This window comes from Homo sapiens, chromosome 1 (genome assembly GCF_000001405.40).
Source record: "Homo sapiens chromosome 1, GRCh38.p14 Primary Assembly".
NCBI classification, from domain to species: Eukaryota; Metazoa; Chordata; class Mammalia; order Primates; family Hominidae; genus Homo; species Homo sapiens.
This window is the reverse complement of record NC_000001.11, coordinates 163,805,341-163,826,177: the sequence shown is the minus strand read 5'-3', so window position 1 is coordinate 163,826,177 and position 20,837 is coordinate 163,805,341. Positions and strand designations below refer to the sequence as shown.

The window sequence follows — 20,837 nt, the reverse complement described above, 5'->3', positions numbered from 1 at the left end:
GAATAGCACAATTAAATGAATGGATTAAGGTGTATGGCCACACAAGGCTAAAGCCTAGAGTGTGGAGATAGAGCAAGGAAGGGATTTTTGTGAAACACGTTACGAAAGGAATCAATCATTTGTTAGAGTATGTTGGAACATGATGATTGACATATGCCTTACTAACAAACATCTTTGAAGGTCTACAATAAAACTCTGTGCTAGACATTATAGGAAATATAAAGGTAGAAATAACAGTTGCTGGCCTCAAGGAGCTTATTAATCAATTAACAAACATTTGTTGAAGTCCTACCATATTCCAGGTACTAAGCTAGAAAGTAAGAGGATTCATCTTGAATAAGAAAAGCTCCCAGAAAGCCTTCAACTGAGATGATGCCAATGGATCAATTATAGAAATTATTAATTATTCAAAAATACAATAGCAGTCCACAGATATTACAGTGTACCAGAGGTAGGGAGGGAGGACAGTATACAGCAACTTTCTGCTTATTATACCTATTGTGATAAAATAAACTCCAAATCTTAGTTGCTTAAAAAAACAATTTATTATCATGATAACACGTGATTCTGTGGATTTACTGGGCTAAGCTGGGTGGTTCTTGTCTTGGGTCTCAGGCAGTTACTGACAGATGGCAACTGGAACTGGAATCATCTACAGGCTTGACTAGGCTGGACATCCACAATGATTCCTTTACTCTTATGTGTGGTGATTCTGATGGGATGGCTGGCACAGCTAGGGGCTACCTAGGCATCTGTCTTTCTCCGTATGGTATCTTCACATGGCTACTTTGTACTTCTTCACAGCACAGTAGTCTCTCCCACAATAGTCTGAGATAGGTGGTCTCAGGCATCTCATATGACATTTGGATTTCCTCAAAGCATACGCTCCAAGAGCAAGTGTTTCTAGAGGCTGAGGAAGAATCCACAAGGCTTTTTATGAACTAACCTTGGACGTCATCCAATGCTACTTCCACCACATTCTATGGGTCAAGATGGAAGTCACAAGGACAACCTATTTAGGGCCTGATCATCAGGAAGCATGAGTTACTGGAAGGCCATCTTTGGAGACAAGCTACTATGGTTCCAAATGACAATAACGATTCCAAAGGAGGAGGGGTCACTGTGTAGAGGACTATTAGGGGGGCCACATCACTGAGGAGGTGCAGCTTAAATTGGAAGAAATGTGAGTTCCACCTAAGGAGAGAGAAGAAAGACCTCATGGTGAAATGAACATATACTCTCAAGAGGATCTGAGTTCAATTCATGCTTCTATCACTTCATAACCATGTACCTTTGGAAGTAATACCTCACAGGGTAGTTGAACAGAATAGCAAAAACATATATTAAAGCCTGGATCATAGCCAGAAAAAAATAGAAAGGAATTATTATTATTAATCACAAAAGAGGACATTCCAAGCTGTGTAAAAATTAGACACTAGGTACTTTGAGGACCCAATGAGTGACCTACAACATCACGTATTCAGAACGGGTTAGAAGAGGCATCGTATTACAAGAGGCTAGATCTCACAGCTTCTGCATTTGTCACAAATTATACTTCCTAAAATGTGTATTTGAAAAAGAATCTGGCCAGACAACATCATGGTATGATTAGAGAACAAAGAAAGATTGCTTTATCTCAAAATGTCATCTTCTCTAATTTGCCCAAGGGTCTTCCACTCCATCATAGGTAGTTCATTCCTCTCAGTTAAGATATCTTATTCCCTGGGGTCACCTATCACAATGGAAATACTCTGGAAGAGGTAATACCCTCAGATATCATCAATTACTCACAATGTATTATACACTTGAGATTACTTTTCAACAATAATAGTCAAGATATTCTAGGCTATGCAGTAGTAAAAACATTCCCACAATCTTCATTATTTTTTAACACAACAAAACTTACTCATTCATACAAATTCCCTTGCATGTCTGGGCAACTCTCCAGGGCAGCTGTCCTCCACGTGTTGAGTCAGTACTCTAGGCTGCTCTGATCTTATGGCACCTCCATATCAACACATGTTCCCATGATCACCACAGCAGAAGAGAAGCTAGAAGACTCATACACTGGCAAATAAATGTTCCTACAAGAAAGTGACATGTATCCCTTCTATTCACATTTTATTGGCTGAAGCAAGTTACCTGGCCATGCCTAGCTTCAAGGAAGTAGGAAATTATAAGTCCCTCATGTGCCCAGAATAACTGGATATCAATTAAAAATAATATGCATAGGGCATTGACCAAAGAAAAAATTCAAAAGAAAAAGAAATTAGGCTGTAATTGAAAATATTTTCAATAGTGAAGTGGAGAGGAAGAGTTAGGTACAAATTAGGAGGCAAATCTAATGGGTCAACATCATTGGTTCCTGAATACATAGACACACAAGGTAACATTCAGCTCCTAGTAGAGGAGGAGGTGTCAGAAATAGAGGTTTCTCAAAAGAAAAACAACTCAGCACCAGCTCTGACTCTTCCACTTTTAAGTATAAAGTCATTTGTCTTTAAACAGTGTTGTGATATTCATCATCATCAAAAAACCAACAGTCTAAAAGTAATCTTTTGCCAAAAATTAACAATTTGAGAGGGTATTGGGGTAGGTATTTCTGGCCAAAGGGTAGGTAGAATGAAATGAAGAAGCAGAAAACCAACAGTCTAAAAGGAATATGGGGGTAGATATTTCTGCCCAAAGAAGGGTTAGGATGAAATGAAGCAGCAGAAACTGGGCCAGAGTTGAAAATTCAGCAAAGAGACAGGCCAGTAAAAATAAAAGGTCATGTCTGGGATCAAGAGATAAAGTCATGAGAAATTTAAAAAGCAAGGATAATGGAAGCTGCTTTGAACTGATTTCAGTTCAGGGCTCTGGAGTGAAATAGGGCAGGATGGTGCTTCCTGAGAATGATGTCTTTGGGGAGGCAGCAGCAGGAAGAGGCTAGTGATCCAAATGGGAATCTACTAGGCTTATAATAGAAATATCCCAAATAATAGAAATATCTCAAATATCCCAAATAGTTCATCCCTCTAGTCCCAGGACTGCTGCCCAACACAGCCTCTGTGAACTTAGGAAGCTCTAAGGGCTTATCTCTGCAGCCCTGACAAGATTCCTACATGATTCACCCTTTAGCCCTAACTGACTGGGGTTATATTAAGTGAATAGCCAGCTGCTTTTTCTGCTTTAATTATTTCTATTTTGAAAATTTTCGACTTACCAAAAAAAAAAATGAGGAGATATTACAGAGAGTTCATATACATTCCCCCTGCACATACCAGTTTTCTCTATTATTTTCATCTTGCATATCTTACACTACTATGATATGTTTGTCACAATGAATAGTCCAATACTGATACATTATTATTATTAACTAATGAAAGGCAACTTTAAAGAAACCACTTCTAGGGTAGATACTGCATGATCTCACTCCTATGTGAAATCTAAAAAAGTTGATCTTATAGAAGTAGAGAGTAGAATAGTGATTACCAGAGGTTGGAGGGTGAGGAATGGGGGGATGATAAGAAGAGGTTACTCAATGGGTAGGAAGTTATAGTTACATAAGAGAAATATGTTCTGATGGTTTTTTGCACAGTAGGGTGACTATAGTTAACAATAATGCATTGTATAATCCAAAATAGCTAGAAGAGAAGATTTTGAATACTCTTACCATGAATAAATTGTTAATGTTTGAAGTGATAGACATACTAATGATACTGATTTTATCATTATACAATGTATATAGGTATTATAAACATCATACTGTACCCTGTAAGTATGTACAATTATTATGTATCAATTAAAAACAAAATACAAATTTTAAAAAACCTACTTCAGTATATACTCTAGAGACTGATAATGATCATAGTGTCTATTTTTAAGTGAAGTAGAAGGGGTTATGAAAGAGTTAAACTTTACACATAAAGAATGGAACATTTCAACAATCTTGTCTTTGATAGGCAAAGAAAAACAAGAGCAAAATCACATACAGAAAGAAACTCTAGGATCAATATGAGTATTATTTATGCACTAAAGTTCAAAGTCAGTGAGACAGAATAAAATAGGCAGGACTCTCAAGAGATTGAATTCACGATATCTTTAAAAAAGAAATAAAGAAAGAAAAACAGAAAAAAAAAAAGCCTAGTCACCAGGGAGGACTTTCAGACTACCTGTGCCAACTCTCCTCAAATGCTGGTTTTGGAGACTTTTGGCCTATAATTTCTAATAGTTCCTGTAGACTTTGGCCTATAGTACACTAACAATGAATTCAGTAGCTTGTTCCCACAGGTGGGATCTGGAATTACTCATGTTGCTCCAGGCTGGGTATTTGATCATCACAGGTGAATCTCTGGATACTTGTGTATCTTCTAAGCTGAAGCTTTCTCCACTAACACCCAAGATGTTTGCATATCTTAAACCTTTCCATCATGATTTACTTGTTCAACCCTCCCCTGACACCCTAGCTTGCTTGAATGATGATGCCATGGGTCTTCCCACATGTTTCACCAAAGAGCCAGACTTTGTCCCCACCTGTAGCTGCTGCTTGGGAGTACTGTTTCAGGCCAGGTAGACCTCCTATAGGAGGTCAAATAGACAATTATATTGCTTTTCCGATGGAATATTACTATTTCCAAAAATACCTGCAGCAATTCTTACCTATTTGTTGAGTATCCACAACAGTTGAGATCAGACCTAAGATCACTATATCCATGTGGTCACTGTAATCCAAACTGCTGACTGCCTTCCTTTGTGTACAAACCTGACCATTTCTAGAAAGTCTGACATCACAACACAAGTATACAGCACTATATGATTGACCCGAGCAGATCCAGAAACACAGATCAGCACCAAAGGCTATGTAGGAGGATTACTGCTAGAGTTCATAAGAGAGGCCAGGGGGCACAAATATGGTATAATGATTAGGGAAAGTCATTGATAAGGAGAGATTCTGGTGGTAAATAGAGTTTAGGAATAAGACGAAAAGGAGGCCTTCCAAAAAAGGATTAGTTATCCTTGTCATTTCTCAGGACCTCCATTGAAAGTTACTGGTAGTGACTCAGCAACTGCCCTAAGTATCCAAATCACTGCTCTAAAGCATCAGAGTCGCTTGTCCCTAAATTTCATCTCATCTAGTTTTTGGCACAAACCATAAGATCACTCACTTTAAACATTTATCTTACATTTTCAGTTTTTAGTCATGCTTCTATTTCATTAGTGGAAAAATATGAGAGCCCTCCAGTGGCCAAAAATAAAACCTATAAATTTATATCATCTTTAAGTAAAACCTCTTTAGCCTTGTGGAAGAAAAAAAAAAAAGTTGTATCTGTATTTCAAAACCTAAGAGTTCAGTGATAGATAAGGTGGGACTTTTATTATTGTTCCATTGACTCACAAATAAGTTGAATCATTCTTACCATGGCTAAGGAGAGGCACAACATTGGAAAAAGAATCAGAGATAAAACATTACAACACATAGAAAAAAACCTCCTGGTATAATTTCTTAAATGGATATTTGTTTTGTAAAAATAAAGCAACAACAAAGAAGAGCTAACATTCATTAAGGTCAAGTTAAAGAACTCATATAAAGAAGAACTTGGATTCCTCTCTTTGAAGATATAAATCTGTAGCCATGAGGAACTGCTCCTAAATCCTAATAGGGATTTATATAGATATATGGCTGCACTGTTTTTTTCCTTCCTCCCTCTGGCTTATCTGTGCTGTACACTTTCTCTTATCCATGCTAATGGAGGGGATCAGTAGTGCAGATAATTGAAAGGTTGTGTGCCAACAAACTGCTTTGTGGTTGCTGCCAAAAACTCCCTAGTGTTGCATGGTTAATGAAAAGTCAGGCAATGGCAGGGTTCTCATCACATAGCAGCCCAGCATAATAATAGTAGCTATTATTTATTGAGCCCCCACTACATACCAGATTAAGTGCTTTACATCCAATTATCTCATTACATCCTCACCTACAACCTTACGATATTGGTATATTTTCCCCTCTTTTATGGGTGAGGAAACTGAGGCTCAGAAAGACAAGTAATTTCCAATGACCACTCTACTCATTTCAGTGATAAAGCTGTTTTCTGATCCAAGTTTTTTCTATTAGTGCAAAATTCAAAAATGCAGTAATTTTGTTATGACACCTCCAAATCCTAGGGTGCATCAACCCACACTTGGGGAAAATTTTCTTTAAATATGGGATTTGGAAATATTTTCAGAGCATTGGTCCTGATCTCTATAAAGAGATATTTTCAGGCTAGACTTAGTATCCATAGGCTTTCTGGATTTGAGTTTCTCCTAAAATTTTCAGCTAATTTCTGGATGAAGGAAAGGGTAAAGTGTCCATATGCAGTGGATATATTTTAATCTCGACTTACTAAGTTTCTCAGCAGAGTATGGGCTTAGTAAGGGCTTCCTTCTTAATATCTTTCGTATTTTAGCTTTGGAACCCCATTCATCCTGATTCTTTCTTTACAACTACTTCTAATTTATTTCATGGTGGCTTCTTCGTCTACTCATGCTCTACTGGCATTTTCCTTTGCCTTCTTTTTGGCTTGCGATAACTTCAACCAGGACCCAGATGCCAATAGCTTGCCAGTCTCAACAGTTAGCTCTGATCTCACTCCATTGCCCTAGCTTCATACTTCCAACTGCCAGATAGTTACTTCCATGTAAATATCATATTGGCACCTGAAACTCACCAGTTTTGAGTATATTGCTTAGATTACTAGGAAAATTATAATATTACTTAACAAAGGGCCTAGCATTTAATGACCCTTTTAAGTGATATGCATTGCTGTTACCATTATTAACAAACAATGGATGAATAAACGTATGAAGTTCAAACTTCTTAGCCAAGAATATAGTGACTGTCTTACCCTAGCTTTATATCAACCTTCCTTTTCATGCCCTCAATTCTTTCCATTCTGGTGCCCTCTCCCATCTACCCTCAGATACTCTAAGTTCATTTATTAATTTGCCACACCTAAGTATAGACAATATTTTTATTCCATGTCTCTTGTTCTATGCATTTTTTAAAATTTTCTCTTTATCTTGTAAACTGTGGCTCATAATATAAATTTATTCCAAATGCTTTCTTTTTGTCCAGTTCTTCCAGGCAAAGTTAGCAGTACCACTTTTACCTGTGATCCTGTAGTACCTTGTAATATATAATTTGTATTTTAATGGCAAAACTTGATCAGAATATCTGTCTCTTCTCCACTATGAGCCATCTGAAGTGAAGGACTGAGATGTATGCTTCTTTCTATTTTGCTTATCAAAACAGTTTTTTAGCACACAGTAGAGATTTGATAAGAGAATAAATGATCCAGATTCCATATCTTTGGAACATCCAGGCATAGACAGTGTTTCAAGTAATCAGAATTAACTAAATTAACCCCTCCCGGGTGCCTGAAGAGAAAGGAGAAGAAGCTCCACTTCTGAAATTGTGTGGCATTTGGAGTAAAATATAACGGGGAATTTCATAAGTAAACCCTAAGAAGAGAGGTAGAGGAAACTAGAGGGATGGGTGAGGAGCTAAGAAATCAATAACTATAAATAATTAAAATTTAAATGAGATAGAAATAGCATGAAAGATCAGTATTGCATCTTCTTTCTCACTAATTCAAACCACATTCCTTTCTCTCATTCTTCATTCTGATCATTTTCTTCAGCACTCTGTCTAGGCTCTGGCTCTCCAACAGGAGGACCTTCCCACTCTTTCTCCTTTTTAGTCTTCATTGATGTTATGCTCTGCTGGTTGCATGCAGACACCCTAGAGTAACCCCAGGTCCAAAGGAACCCAGGGAAAGCTGAAGTAGCAGGCAGTAGGAGCAGAAAACAAATTAGATTTGTAGGGTTAGCTATTATGAAAAGTGGGAATTCGAATATAGCTGGCCCATAGGAAAACTGGACCTGGGAATCAATTTGGATTCAGGCATCCTCATAGACAACAGCAGCAGGACTTCAAGAGGGTACCCTGTGGTGTTCCACTTTGGACAAGGCTGGACTACTTTCCATGTATCAACTTCATTATTTTTGTACAAACAACTGACTTCTTGTATACTTACTGTATACTTTTTCTGTATCCTAGCTTCTACTGGTACATATTTTATGATTTTTAAATTCACCCATAATTTTTGTCTCCCTAGTTTGACTTGTCATGCTCCTTTTGGAAGAAGTAATTCATTGTCCCTCAGTTTCTTTTTTTTTCTTCTACAGTAGAGGTTTTTAACCTTATTTGACTAAGCACTCCATTTTACACTGAATATTTTACAAAGCTCTCTTTACTATCCTGAAATTTATAAATATACAAATACTTTATAAGTACTTTAAAATTATCTTAAATATAAAAAAGAGAAAAAAGTTTTATTTAAATTAATTAAGTTTAAATAATATATAATGCAATACGTAAATGCTCAGGCGTACCTACAATAGAAAATGAAATAAAGTAGTAAGATGCTTATACCTACACATGAACCAGGATGAATGTGACACAAATGTGGACTGACACAGTGCCTTATATTGGTGACTTAAACACCACAGACAGCATTGCTGGAGATTGTAAGTTTTGTTTTGGTTTTTGCTGAAATGGTGAACAACTCTAAAGATACAAAAATAATACATAATGAAGTACAATTTTTTTAATTAAAAAAAAGTAGGACCTGGAAGTAGGTATACTCCTAGGAAATTCAGTGTGTATTAAACGATTATATGTTTATATGGGAAATGGAGTTAAGTTCTAGGCACAGAAAATTATAAACATTTTTTTCCCACCTAACTGAATGTCCTTCAGGATATTTTTAAAAATGTAGATACAAGACAACTCTTTATTCTGCTGGGTTATTCTTGACATTGTAGTTCATCCAGCCTCCTTAAACGTGCTAATTAAAACACAAGGAAACCTTCCAGTCAGTCACTGTGTCAAATAAAAAACCACCATACATTTCTAAAATTCCATCTAGGGAATAAGTTGAAAATAAATGTTCTATATAACTAGAATCCTTGATTTTGTAACAGGTATTCAGCAACTCAGAATAACTAGACTGCATTTTCCAGCCTATATGGCAACTAACTATGACCATGTGACTAAATTCTGGCCAATGGATGTGAGCACAACTTTTTAATTTTGCTCTTAAAGATGTTCCTTCTTCTTCTTTTTCCCTTTCCCTCTGGCTTAAATGAAAATGTGGTGGAAGAATTTTTTTTTTAAACATTATAGTGAGGGCATCACTTTCAGGATGAAAAGTAAGATGACAAAAGGATCTTAGTCCTTGAATTGTGGAACTGCTTTACCTGTGGCATCAGACACCTCTGATGCCCCACCTTGCATCTCTTTGGTCTTATCTCTGACTTCATCTGCAGTTGCAGTGGAAAGTCCCATGAGGGCTTTAACTCACTTCATACTGACTGTCCTGCATCAAAGGTGTATTCCACATATCTTTACTTTCTGCTATTTGGCTTCTCCTAAAATTTGAATATCAGAAGCAACTTACTTATCTAGAACATATGGGCAGCTAAGAAGTGCAGGGGTTCTCATGCCCTTGGAGAAAACTATTAACCATTTGGGAATGGGAAACTTTGGATAAATGTTCTTGCTTTCTTTACCCTTTTGGATGCACTATTCTGGGAGACAATCTGAACATGTTTCATGAGATCCCTGCAAAATCTAGCCTCTATTGCCCTTAAATTTTATTAACTTCTATGGATGCTCTAAAGAAAAATAACTACTAAGTCAGGTCATAGGGTTAAAGCAAGAAAGTACCCATAGCAATGATTAAAGTGATACTTATCTTTTGCAGCCACAGGTCAAAGAGTGCTCAAAATTCTAATCATAATTTAATTGTAAAGGTGTAATTACAAGGGATACAAAGAACATGGAATGTGCAGCCACAGTAGGTTTATTTTCTTAGATAATAGGAACTGACAGGAAAACTGAAAAAACCCTGAGACCTAGGATGAAGATATTTGGATGAACGGGTCTGAGAGCTGTGAGTCTTATGTTGCCTTAAAACACCTCCCCATCAAAATACCACCACCATTCTTCGTAGAGTTAGAAAAAGCAATTCTAAAATTCATATGAAACCAAAAAAGAGCCTGCATAGCCAAAGCAAAACTAGGCAAAAAAGAAAAACAAAAACAACAACAACAACAACAACAAAAAAAAAACCTGGAGGCATCACACTACCTGATTTTAAACTATACTATAAGGCCATGGTCACCAAAACAGCATGGTACTGGTATAAAAATAGGCACATAGACCAATTGAACAGAATAAAGAACCCAGAAATAAAAACCCAGAAATAAACCCAAATACTTACAGCCAACTAATCTTTGACAAAGCAAACAAAAACATAAAGTGGTGATAGGACACCGTTTTCAATAAATGATGCTGGGATAACTGGCTAGCCACATGTAGGAGAAGGAAACTGAATCCTCATCTCTCTCCTTATACAAAAATGAACTCAAGATGGATTAAGAACTTAAACCTAAGACCTGAAACTGTAAACATTCTAGAAGAAAACATTGGAAAAACCCTTCTAGACATTGGCTTAGGCAAGGATTTCATGACCAAAAACTCAAAAGCAAATGCAATAAAAACAAAGATAAATAGTTGGGACCTAATTAAACTAAAGAGCTTTTGCACGGCAAGAGGAACAGTCAGCAGAGTAAACAGACAACCCACAGAGTGGGAGAAAATCTTCACAATGTATACATCTGACAAAGGACTAATATCCAAAATCTACAATGAACTCAAACAAATAAGTAAGAAAAAAATCAATCCCATCAAAAAGTGGGCTAATGACATGAATAGACAATTCTCAAAAGAAGATATACAAATGGCCAACAAACATATGAAAAAATGCTCAACATCACTAATGATCAGGGAAATGCAAATCAAACCCACAATGTGATACCACCTTACTCCAGTAAGAATGGTCACAATCAAAGAATTAAAAAAAAGTAGATGTTGGAGTGGATGTAACAATCAGGGAACACTTCTACATTGCTGGTGGGCATGTAAACTAGTGCAGCCACTATGGAAAACAGTGTGGAGATTCCTTAAAGAACCAAAAGTAGAACTACCATTTGACCCAGCAATCCCACTACTGAGTATACCCAGAGGAAAAGAAGTCATTATTTGAAAAAGATACTTGCACATGCATGTTTAGAGCAGCACAATTCACAATAGCAAAATCATGAAGAAAACATTGGAAAAACCCTTCTAGACTAGGATCTAGACCCTTTTATGGGTGAGTACTACTCACCCATAAAAAGGAATGAATTAACAGCATTTGCAATGACCTGAATGAGACTAGAGACTATTATTCTAAGTGAAGTAACTCAGGAATGGAAAACCAAATGTCTTATGTTCTCACTGATATGTGGGAGCTAAGCTATGAGGATGCAAAGGGGTAGAATGATACAATAGACTTTGGGGACTTGGGGAAAGAGCGAGGGAGGGCAAGGGATAAAAGACAACAAATATGGTGCAGGGTATACTGCTTGGGTGACGGGTGCACCAGGATCTCACAAATCTCCACTAAATAACTTACTCATGTAACCAGATACCACCTGCACCCCAATAATTTGTGGAAAAATAAAACTAAAACAAAATCATCTGGACCTGCAGAAGCACGCCAGCTCTAGCTGGAAACCAGCTTCCCTTTATTGAGGAACCATGCAAATACATTAACCAAGGCAAATGCTTCAAAAAATGATGCCTATCTTTAAAATCTGTCCCTACATATCTTTATTGACTGAAAACTAGGATCAGGGCTTATCATAACCCAGGTAAGGGAGTATTGTCCATGTTTCAGAAGGAAATGGCTTACTCAATCCAAAGAATTGTAGTACTTGGCCAATAAGTACAAGCAGAGAGTTGATCTTAGAGGAGTTAAGGACTTGGGGAGAGGGGCAAAATATATAGCTACACAAACCCAGTAGTTATTTGCCAAATGTGTAATTGAGATGTATATACTTAAAAGCTAGCAAAATATTCACACTGGTTTTCTAACCTGTGGAATTTAGAAGCAATTATTTTATATAGGGCTAATGGAAGCCTCTGAAACATCCCTCCATACTCTCTTGCCATTATAGTAAAATAGAAGTAATAATTCATCCTTGAAAGAATTGCAAAAATTGGTGTTGTACTCAAAGACTTAAAGTTTGCAGGAGTGTGGTCTCATCATATTCCCACTTAGTCCCACTGTTGGATATCTGAAAAATCAAATGAATCATAATCAGACGTAAATAATTGTGAATCACCATAAGCTTAATCGATTAGTAGCCCCAATAGCAGCTGTTATGCTGAATGTGGTATCTTTACTGAAATTGACACTTGATTGCCCCTATTAATCTGCCAAATGTGTTCTTTTCTACCGGAAACTGTTCATGTTTACATAAAGACAACAGCTGAACATATCTATTGTCTTGTCCAAGCACTAGGTTAACTCTTTTGCTCTCTTCCACACTGTAATCTGCAGTGACCTTAATCATCTTGACATTCCTCAGAAACATCATGTTAGTCCACTATATCAATGTCTAATGATAATTCTAATTGGACCTAGTGGACAGAGAATAGCAAATACTCTGGATATCCTAATAAGACGCATACATGCCAGAAGGGTGAATGATAAATTTAAGGCAGTTTCAACATTTCAAGGACTTGACACTTTAGTTAAGTGTTTAGGGATTCAATAGATCGGAATGTGAGTGAATATCCCTTATATGTACTTTGTAGTTTAGGCTTCTTTGGATTTTGGAGGTCACACATGCCATGACTGCAAATGTTGCTTTGACCTAATTTTTGAGTGACTCATAAAGTTGTCTGTTTTGAGGAAGACAACCCACATCCACAGGGTTCTAGGCCATTCCTTATACAACCAAACATTGCTCTTGGATGAAATGGTGAACAGACAATTCAGCAACCATAATATAATAAGAGCAAGGCAAACTGTAGACTCAGATAACTCAGAAATGAAGGTTTTGGTCACCTCACCAAGCAAACAACCTATATCAACAGAAGTTCCAGGCAACAGTAAGAGAAATCTAGAATGTATGGTGGAAGGAAGAGATTCTGAATATCAGTTAAAGCCACTGGACTAATTGCAGCAATGACACCGTAGCTTTTTTCAGTAACCCTTGTTTATTAAATCTTTTGCAAAGGTTGCAGCCAGCCATTGCCTTGAAGATTCATCAACAGATCGAACTTTATGTAGGAATGAACTAATTTGCACAATGTAAGGGGTGGACTGTGTCAGATATCTCTGCTGCCCCAACCAACATCATCTTAGTATGCATGTGTTTCATGCCACGACAATAGTGGACAGTTCCATATAGGGTTCAACCAACTTTGTGCTGGCAGGGCTTCCCTTCAAGAATGTTTGTGTGGGTTTTGTTACTGCCCTAGAGCTTCCCTCACATGTAGATCCCTGGCAGAAACTTGCTTTGGCAGAATGCATTATCTTCTAAGATGTTGGAGGGTTAATACCTCTAGGAACAATGCTCAAAGGATAAGAAATGGACGCTGGTGTACAAATGCTCCCATCTCCCATTTTTCAACTGAATCATTCTGGTAGGCATTCTGTATTTTTCTCGAAAGATGCCAGTGGAATTGAGGTCCTACTGCTCAGTAATGTGTCCCTATAATGGCTTTTTCTCCTTTACTATCTCACTTTCCTTGTCCCTCATTCTCGTTTACTATCTCACTTTCCTTGTCCCTCATTCTCGTTCTCTGAAATCATAAACAAAATAAACTCCCTGAAAATAAGTTTCCATCATGGATATGTATTTGGGAGAACACAGAGTAGGCCATCAGCCTACTCAGCTCTGGACTGCTAATTCCTGGTCTGACATAAGATTTAGAAACAAACATTTAACTTATTTATGCCATCATCATTTTGGCCAAAATATATCCAATGAATGTACTCCAATTCTAATATTATGCATATTCTACTTATTTCTATCTTGGTGTATCTTTTCCATTTCAATTTCTATGATTTCTAACCATAGAACCAAATGTCAGTCCTCATCTGGCATTTGTTAATTTAAATTTCAGAGAGAAAGACTTTGATTGACTTGTTATTTCACACCAGGTCAATTCATAGCCTGAACATATAGATTGACTGACCTCATGGCCAAAGTGTATTATTGAATAAATTAACTATGTCCAGAAAGGTGGGGGGCATGTAGTAATAAACACAAGGCTGTTCCTTCAGTAAGTGCGTGAATGAGACAGTTTCCCCAGAAGGGGTTGTGAGTCTGGCCAGCTTCATGACTGACGAGAATAATATAGTCTTCCAAATCTCAGAATCTTTCTCATATATCTCTTATTTTCATTCCTTCATTATCATTTCTGCAAACACAGAACCACCCCATACTTATACTGAGTTCTGATAGGTAACCACAAAAGTCTTCTACAACAGCTTTCATTCATACAGCTTCATCTCATTTTCATTCAGCTTTCAGAACTCTGCCAGAGTCAGATTTCCATTTTGATAATTATCCTTCCCTGCTCAAGTATCTACTGCAGGCATTTCTTGCCTATACATCAATTCTAAACCAGCAACCAGAGGTGTCCAATCTTTTGACTTCCCTGAGCCACATTGGAAGAATTGTCTTGGACCACACATAAAATGCACTGACACTAATGATAGCTGATGAGCTAAAAAATAAAATCGGAAAAAGAAAAATCTCACAGTTTTTTTTTTTTTTTTTTTTTGGAGACAGAGTTTCACTCTTATTGCCCAGGTTGGAGTGCAATGGGTCGATCTCAGCTCACTGCAACCTCCACCTCCCGGGTTCAAGAGATTCTCCTGCCTCAGCTTCCCAAGTAGCTGGGATTACAGGCATGCGCCACCACACCCAGCTTATTTTGTATTTTTAGTAGATACAGGGTTTCACCATGTTGGTCAGGCTGGTCTCAAACTCCTAATCTCAGGTGATTCACCCACCTTAGCCCCCCAGAGTGCTGGAATTACAGGCGTGAGTCACCTCACCTGGCCCTCATAATGTTTTAAAACAGTTTATGAATTTGTGTTGGTCTGCATTCCAAGCCATCCTGAGCTGCATGCAGCCTGCAGGCTGCATGTTGGACAAGCTTGCACCAAGTTTGATATTTAAGAACACCCATAAACTACCTTCTTGGATATAAGGGTTTTTGTTAGGAAAAGACTATGTTTACCTTCCTGGTAAATATCTCTTGGGGTCTCTGTAGAGTTCTAGGGAAACAAGAAGTGCTCAGTGGATGCATGTTGAATTTAATTTAATTGCTGCTTCTGAATCTTTCTCCCGTCATCTTCTTAGGCACTTAAGAAATCCTCCAATCTGAGAAAACAAGCATTTTTCAAATGAGAAATCAATCCAAACAAAAGAAAAAGAGTCTATATCATTTAAAAAAAAAAAAAAAAAGACCTCTATCAAGTGGTATCAACGGAAACTAGAGGAGCACAAAATAGATTGCATATTACCATAGGCTATATCCAGGGGGAAAAAAATAATCCCAGAGTTATTTTTGGTTTTTTATTCAACTAAAAGTCTAATGTGCATTGTTATCTGATCAATTTTGTTAATTTCTTTGTAATTAATAATTAACATGAACAAAAATAAATCCACAAAAAATTGGTCAACATGAAAACATAAACACAGTATTTCTGAAAAAAAATCATCTAATTAAACATTATTAACTGAATTTTACTTACTTTAATATTTGTTGTTATTTTTAAATGTCTCTATTTTAATAATAAATATTGTTTAAAAACTGACTTTCTCTATGTATAATTAAATTTGGCATTTTGTTATAGTTCCATATGGCTAAGGGCAAAACAATTTAGCCATTTAACTCCTGTAATAATTATTAGCATAATCCTACTTCTAGTCAAATCAGGTAGGGAAACTGATTCCCAGTGGTCAATTGCTTCAAGGCTCCCAGTTGCCCTTTAAACTTTTTTGGGAAAGTACCCTTTAGATATCATTGAGGGGTACATAGAATCCCTCCCTAGAGGAAAAAAATGTTTGTTTAAAATGTATTGCATACAATTATTGGAAGTGAGGGGGCTGTGGACTCTTTGAAACCTATCCATTGATTCTCTGGGGGTCTTGGATTTAAAACTTATGTTTTAATAAATGTCTCCAAAGTTACATCATGCTCTTAGGGAACATTGTTGTACACTCATTTAGCCATCCTAAGGCCTTTTATGTATCAGACACTGCTAAGTCCTGAGTAAACAGGTAAGTAAAATATATTCCTTTCCCTAAGGGGGTTTAAAACGTAATATGGAAACACTAAAATGAACACAAGTGCAATGAATGATTCTGAATACTATCATAGAAGTACACTTTGGAAGAAATCAACTTGTGTGTAACATTAAAGGTAAAATGTGGAGTCAGACTGCCTAGGATTACATCCCATCCTGGCTTTTTAGAATTAGTATGATTTTGTGCAGTTTCTTTTTCTGTACATTGCAGGTGATAATATATGCAACTCACAGGGTTTTGTGAGGTTAAATGGCTTGGTGTATGTAAATCATTTAGAATAATTTGTGGGCCATACTAAGGCCTCAATAAATTAAGATTATTAAATTAAGATTATAAATTTTGATTATTGTACTCATCGGGGAAGAGTGCTTGCAGCCAGAAAAGTCCCCCTACATAAATGAAGGGGAAGGAATGGCTAACTAGGGGGCAGGAAAAGGAGCAAAGTAGGAATGGTAAATGTAATGTGCTCTTTTCCTTGTCTTCAGCTGCTCTTCTCTGGGCTTTATAAGAGCTCAATCTTCCAACATTCTCCAGAGGACTCAGATGTGTGATGCTTTTCTCTGTGAAACATCCTTCACTCTAATAACTATTTGCAGCAAGTGCTGCTGTGCAAGCAGAGTAAGTGACTTGCACAAGGTCACATAGGGGAGTGCCCACAGAAAGCCAAGGAAACTCCTTATTTTTGCTTGGTTTCTTCCCCAGCACACCAGATGGACTTCCAAATGAAAATTCATTTATTTGATTTATCCAATGAAGCACACATCCCTTTAAGATGACAATAATTATTTTGGATGGGCATTAGAGCAGAATTTTTTTTTCCTAGGGGCATAGAGCCACTATTTGCAATATAATAAGAAAGTCATCAGAATTATTACCATGACTTAATAGCAGAATGCCAACTATTTGCTGTGTACTTGAATCTCTCCAATAATATGTCAGTTTATTTTAATAAAATTAATTTGTGTCATTTAGTTATATTAATACATAAACTAATAATCTATAAAATATTAAGTATCATTTAAAAAAATTACCTAATAGTTCTAATACAGCCTCAAATTCCTGAAGTGGGATTTTTCAAATATTTTCCTATATAAGGCAACTAAACGTTTCAGCCATGCTTCTTGCTTCTTTACTCTAAATCTTGGTTTTGAGAATTAGGTGAGACAATGTATGTAAAGCGTTTGTCATAATGCCTGATTTAATAGGACTCTTATTAATAATAATATCAATAATAACCTAGTGTTTTCATTCTCATAATATGTTTACTATGGCAACACTAGATTTCTTTTTAATACACAAACCTGAAATATTTATAGATACAGTAGATGAACTAGACTTGACTCACAGGCAGAGGGCACAACAGGTATGATTTCACAGCCGGCAGAAACAACTTATTCGCTTGAAAATCCTCCTTTGCCTTTTGCTTCATTTTTGAAATTCCACAATCAGAATTCCAGCCTTGATTGTATATATAATATCATTGGTATTCTACAACTTTCCCTAGTTTGCCACTGAAGACTAATAATTTAAGTAATGTTCATCCGTTTCACCTAAATGTGGGAAACACCTAGAGAAGAGATTTGATCAGGGTTGCAGGCATGGAGGCGGAAAACACAGCGTGTCTGGTATGTTGCAAATTAGTAATTCAGGCCACACTGATGCAAGGAGAAGGCTCAGACTGTGCCCTTAAACACTGTCCTTCCCCAGGATCCTGATCTCTAGCCTCTTGTTTCATTCCCCACTCTGTCCCTTCCTCCTAGTGATCTCATTCATGTCAAGGTTGAACTAGCTGTCTACTGGCTAAGGACCTCAAACCTTGGCTAAGAACCTCAGACCTTTTACATCAGACCATCATTCTGAGAGGCTGGCTGCTCTATTCAACTGCCGTGGGCTCCTTCCACTTGAGAAAGTTTACATGAGCCTCTGAGAGAGCATCAGTAGCCCTGTATGGGCTTCATTACATTCTACCCATCTTTTCCATAGCACTCACCATAAAAAAACTATAATGGTCTCTTTAATGGTCTTTCACACTGGAATAGGAGTGCACTGGGGGCAGGAACTATGCCTCTTGCTCATTCACTCACACATTATTCATTCAACAAATATACAATTCATATTTAGATCTCAAGGAACAGAACTGTTCTTGGCCACAGAAGGTAGTCAATGAATGTTTGTTGAATGTAATAAATAAATGTTGAAGTAAGTGAATAAGCAAATGTCCAAAATAAAGTGGCTACAAACACTAAATACATGCCTTTCTACTGCACAAGTAGACCTGGGTCTGGCCTTGGTTACTGATGATCAGAAACTGCCATCAGAGGCAAATGTATGACTGTCTCTCTTCCGGAACAATGTGTAGCAAGGTTCAGGAAAAGGCTATGTGATGAGAGTGAGATTAAGCAGTTTGATAACATCAGTCTCCAGGCACCATTTCTCATGGTGGACTGAATGATGAATGCTGGCCTGTCAGGCATCTATCGAAATTCCTGGGGTACCTGTCTTCTGGCTTCCAGGGTAGTTCTATCTCTGAGCAGAAGTCAGGAAATGCATTTCCACATTAATGTTATCTCAGCAGCTCCAGAGACTGGTTTTGTTTCTTGGAATTTCCCACTAGGAAAATGTTTTATTGTACTTTCTTTGACCTCTTGGGTAGCTGGACCTGGGTTGGGTGTTATTTGACTAGATAATTAACATGTCTATAAATGGAATAAAGGGATGTATACCTTGGAGCTTTACAAAAACCAGTTCTGCAGGACAGAGCAACCATTTTTCCTCTGAAACCAAATCAGAAAATGAACCTGGGAATCAAAAAAATGGCTTAAGGTGTCTGACTCAGGATCTTTACAAAGCAAAAAGTGAAGAAGAGTCCTAGTGTTTCCCAAAGGATTTGTATTCAGTAAGCATCATTGTTGATTTCAGGCATAGAATTAGAAGGTAAATTTGTATCTAATTGAACCTTCTCATGTTACAGTGATGAAATAGAGTCCTGGAGATTTGAAGTGACGAGCTCAAGATCACTCAGCTACATAATTGTAGAGCCTGTAGTAGAACCAGTATAACCAAATTTGTTGATTCTTCCCTCATTCTTTCTCTGCCTTTATTTTGTTTGGTTTTGTTTTGAACTATACCACATGGTCTTCGGAAAATATGCTGCGTTCTGGCATATATAGGAATCACAGATTTGTTCAGTATTTAACAAGACTCATTGACATTATACATAAGATACACTTAACCACCATGGAACATTCAAGGATGAATTAGACACTCAGTGTTCATGAAGCATGCAGTCTGCTCTATGATAAAATAACATGAGAGTTTCAAAAATGATCTGTAGTATAGGACCAATGAAAGAAAAGATTTCTTGGGAATCGGAAAATGGAATATGCTGTTGTGCACCATAATAGAATCTAACTGTGTGTCGCCAGCTATTATTTTGGTAACCATCCTTATAGGCATCCAGGGAATCTCCTTTCCGGATGGTAAGCAAGATGCTGATTTGTTCAACAATCTTGCATTTTCCGTTCCTGAGAACTGTCATCCCATGTTTCTCCAGGGGTCTCTGGCTTCATTCACCCAAGTCTTAAATTAAATCCCTTGTGATCATTACTGCTAAGTGGAAGAAGCTGTCCTCAAAATGACTGGGAAGTCTCACATGTGCGTTCAGCAAGGATTTGAGCTATAGGGATAGTTAAGGCTTAGGTCAGAAGTTGGAAATTGGTGGCCTTCAGACCAAATTCGGCCTGCAAGTATATTTTATTTGACATATCTAACGTTGATTCACACAGTGTTTTAAATTTGAACAGTTACCAACATCTAAATACTGAGAAATTGTACTTACTAATCTGGATTTCCAGACTCCATACATACACACAAACTGAAAATTCTCCCCACACTGAGTCTGCCTTTCCACATGGCAATGATCAATTGGAGATCAGTAGTCGCTAGTTCTTTAGACAGTGCATGTGTTTTCTAGTTTGCCACAGTCCCCATAACTTGATAGGACTTTTGCAAAGTGGAGGTGCAGTGTCTGATGCCAGCCATCATGTACCACCTATTCGCTTTTCCAGATGGCAACACCTAGCTCCATAGGTATTAGGCTTGCCACCCTGCTTTAGGTAATAATGCCAATACTTTGATTCGTTTAGAAGTTGTTTTATATTTTTTACGTTAGTTTACATTTGATTAGCATGCAGTATTTACAAATTGCTTTCACATAAGTAAAATTGCCTTCTCACAAGTTAAATTGCCTTCTCACAACTCCATGAAATGTGTGAGATAGTTAAAATTATGTCCATTTCTCAGCTGAAGGCACTGAATCTTGAATAAGTAACATAATTTGCCTAAAGTATACAGATATTCCCAAATTACCCAGCCCAAGGCCTTTTTTGTGACATCTCTACTACCATAGCAATAGATGCTATACCTCTAAGAATAAGAAATAAGTAGACAATTGTCTTTTGGTTCTTGTGTTAGCCACCACACTGCTATTGAAGCAAGCCTGCATTAATATACAATAGCAGTGACTTCAGCTACATTGAAATATCTGTATTAGCCTTTAACCCTAATTCAGAATAAACCAAATGTTCTAATTG

The 20,837-nt window shown here is 37.2% G+C and overlaps 1 long non-coding RNA gene across 1 annotated transcript in view; it reads right to left on the bottom strand.

The window, feature by feature from the left end:
• Nucleotides 1-526: 526 nt before the first annotated feature.
• LOC124904447 (uncharacterized) overlaps nt 527-20,837 on the bottom strand; it is a 90,138-nt gene continuing 69,827 nt past the window's right edge. The window contains exon 2 of the long non-coding RNA XR_007066704.1: nt 527-1,194. This is a non-coding gene — a long non-coding RNA (uncharacterized LOC124904447). The remainder of the gene's footprint in view (nt 1,195-20,837) is intronic.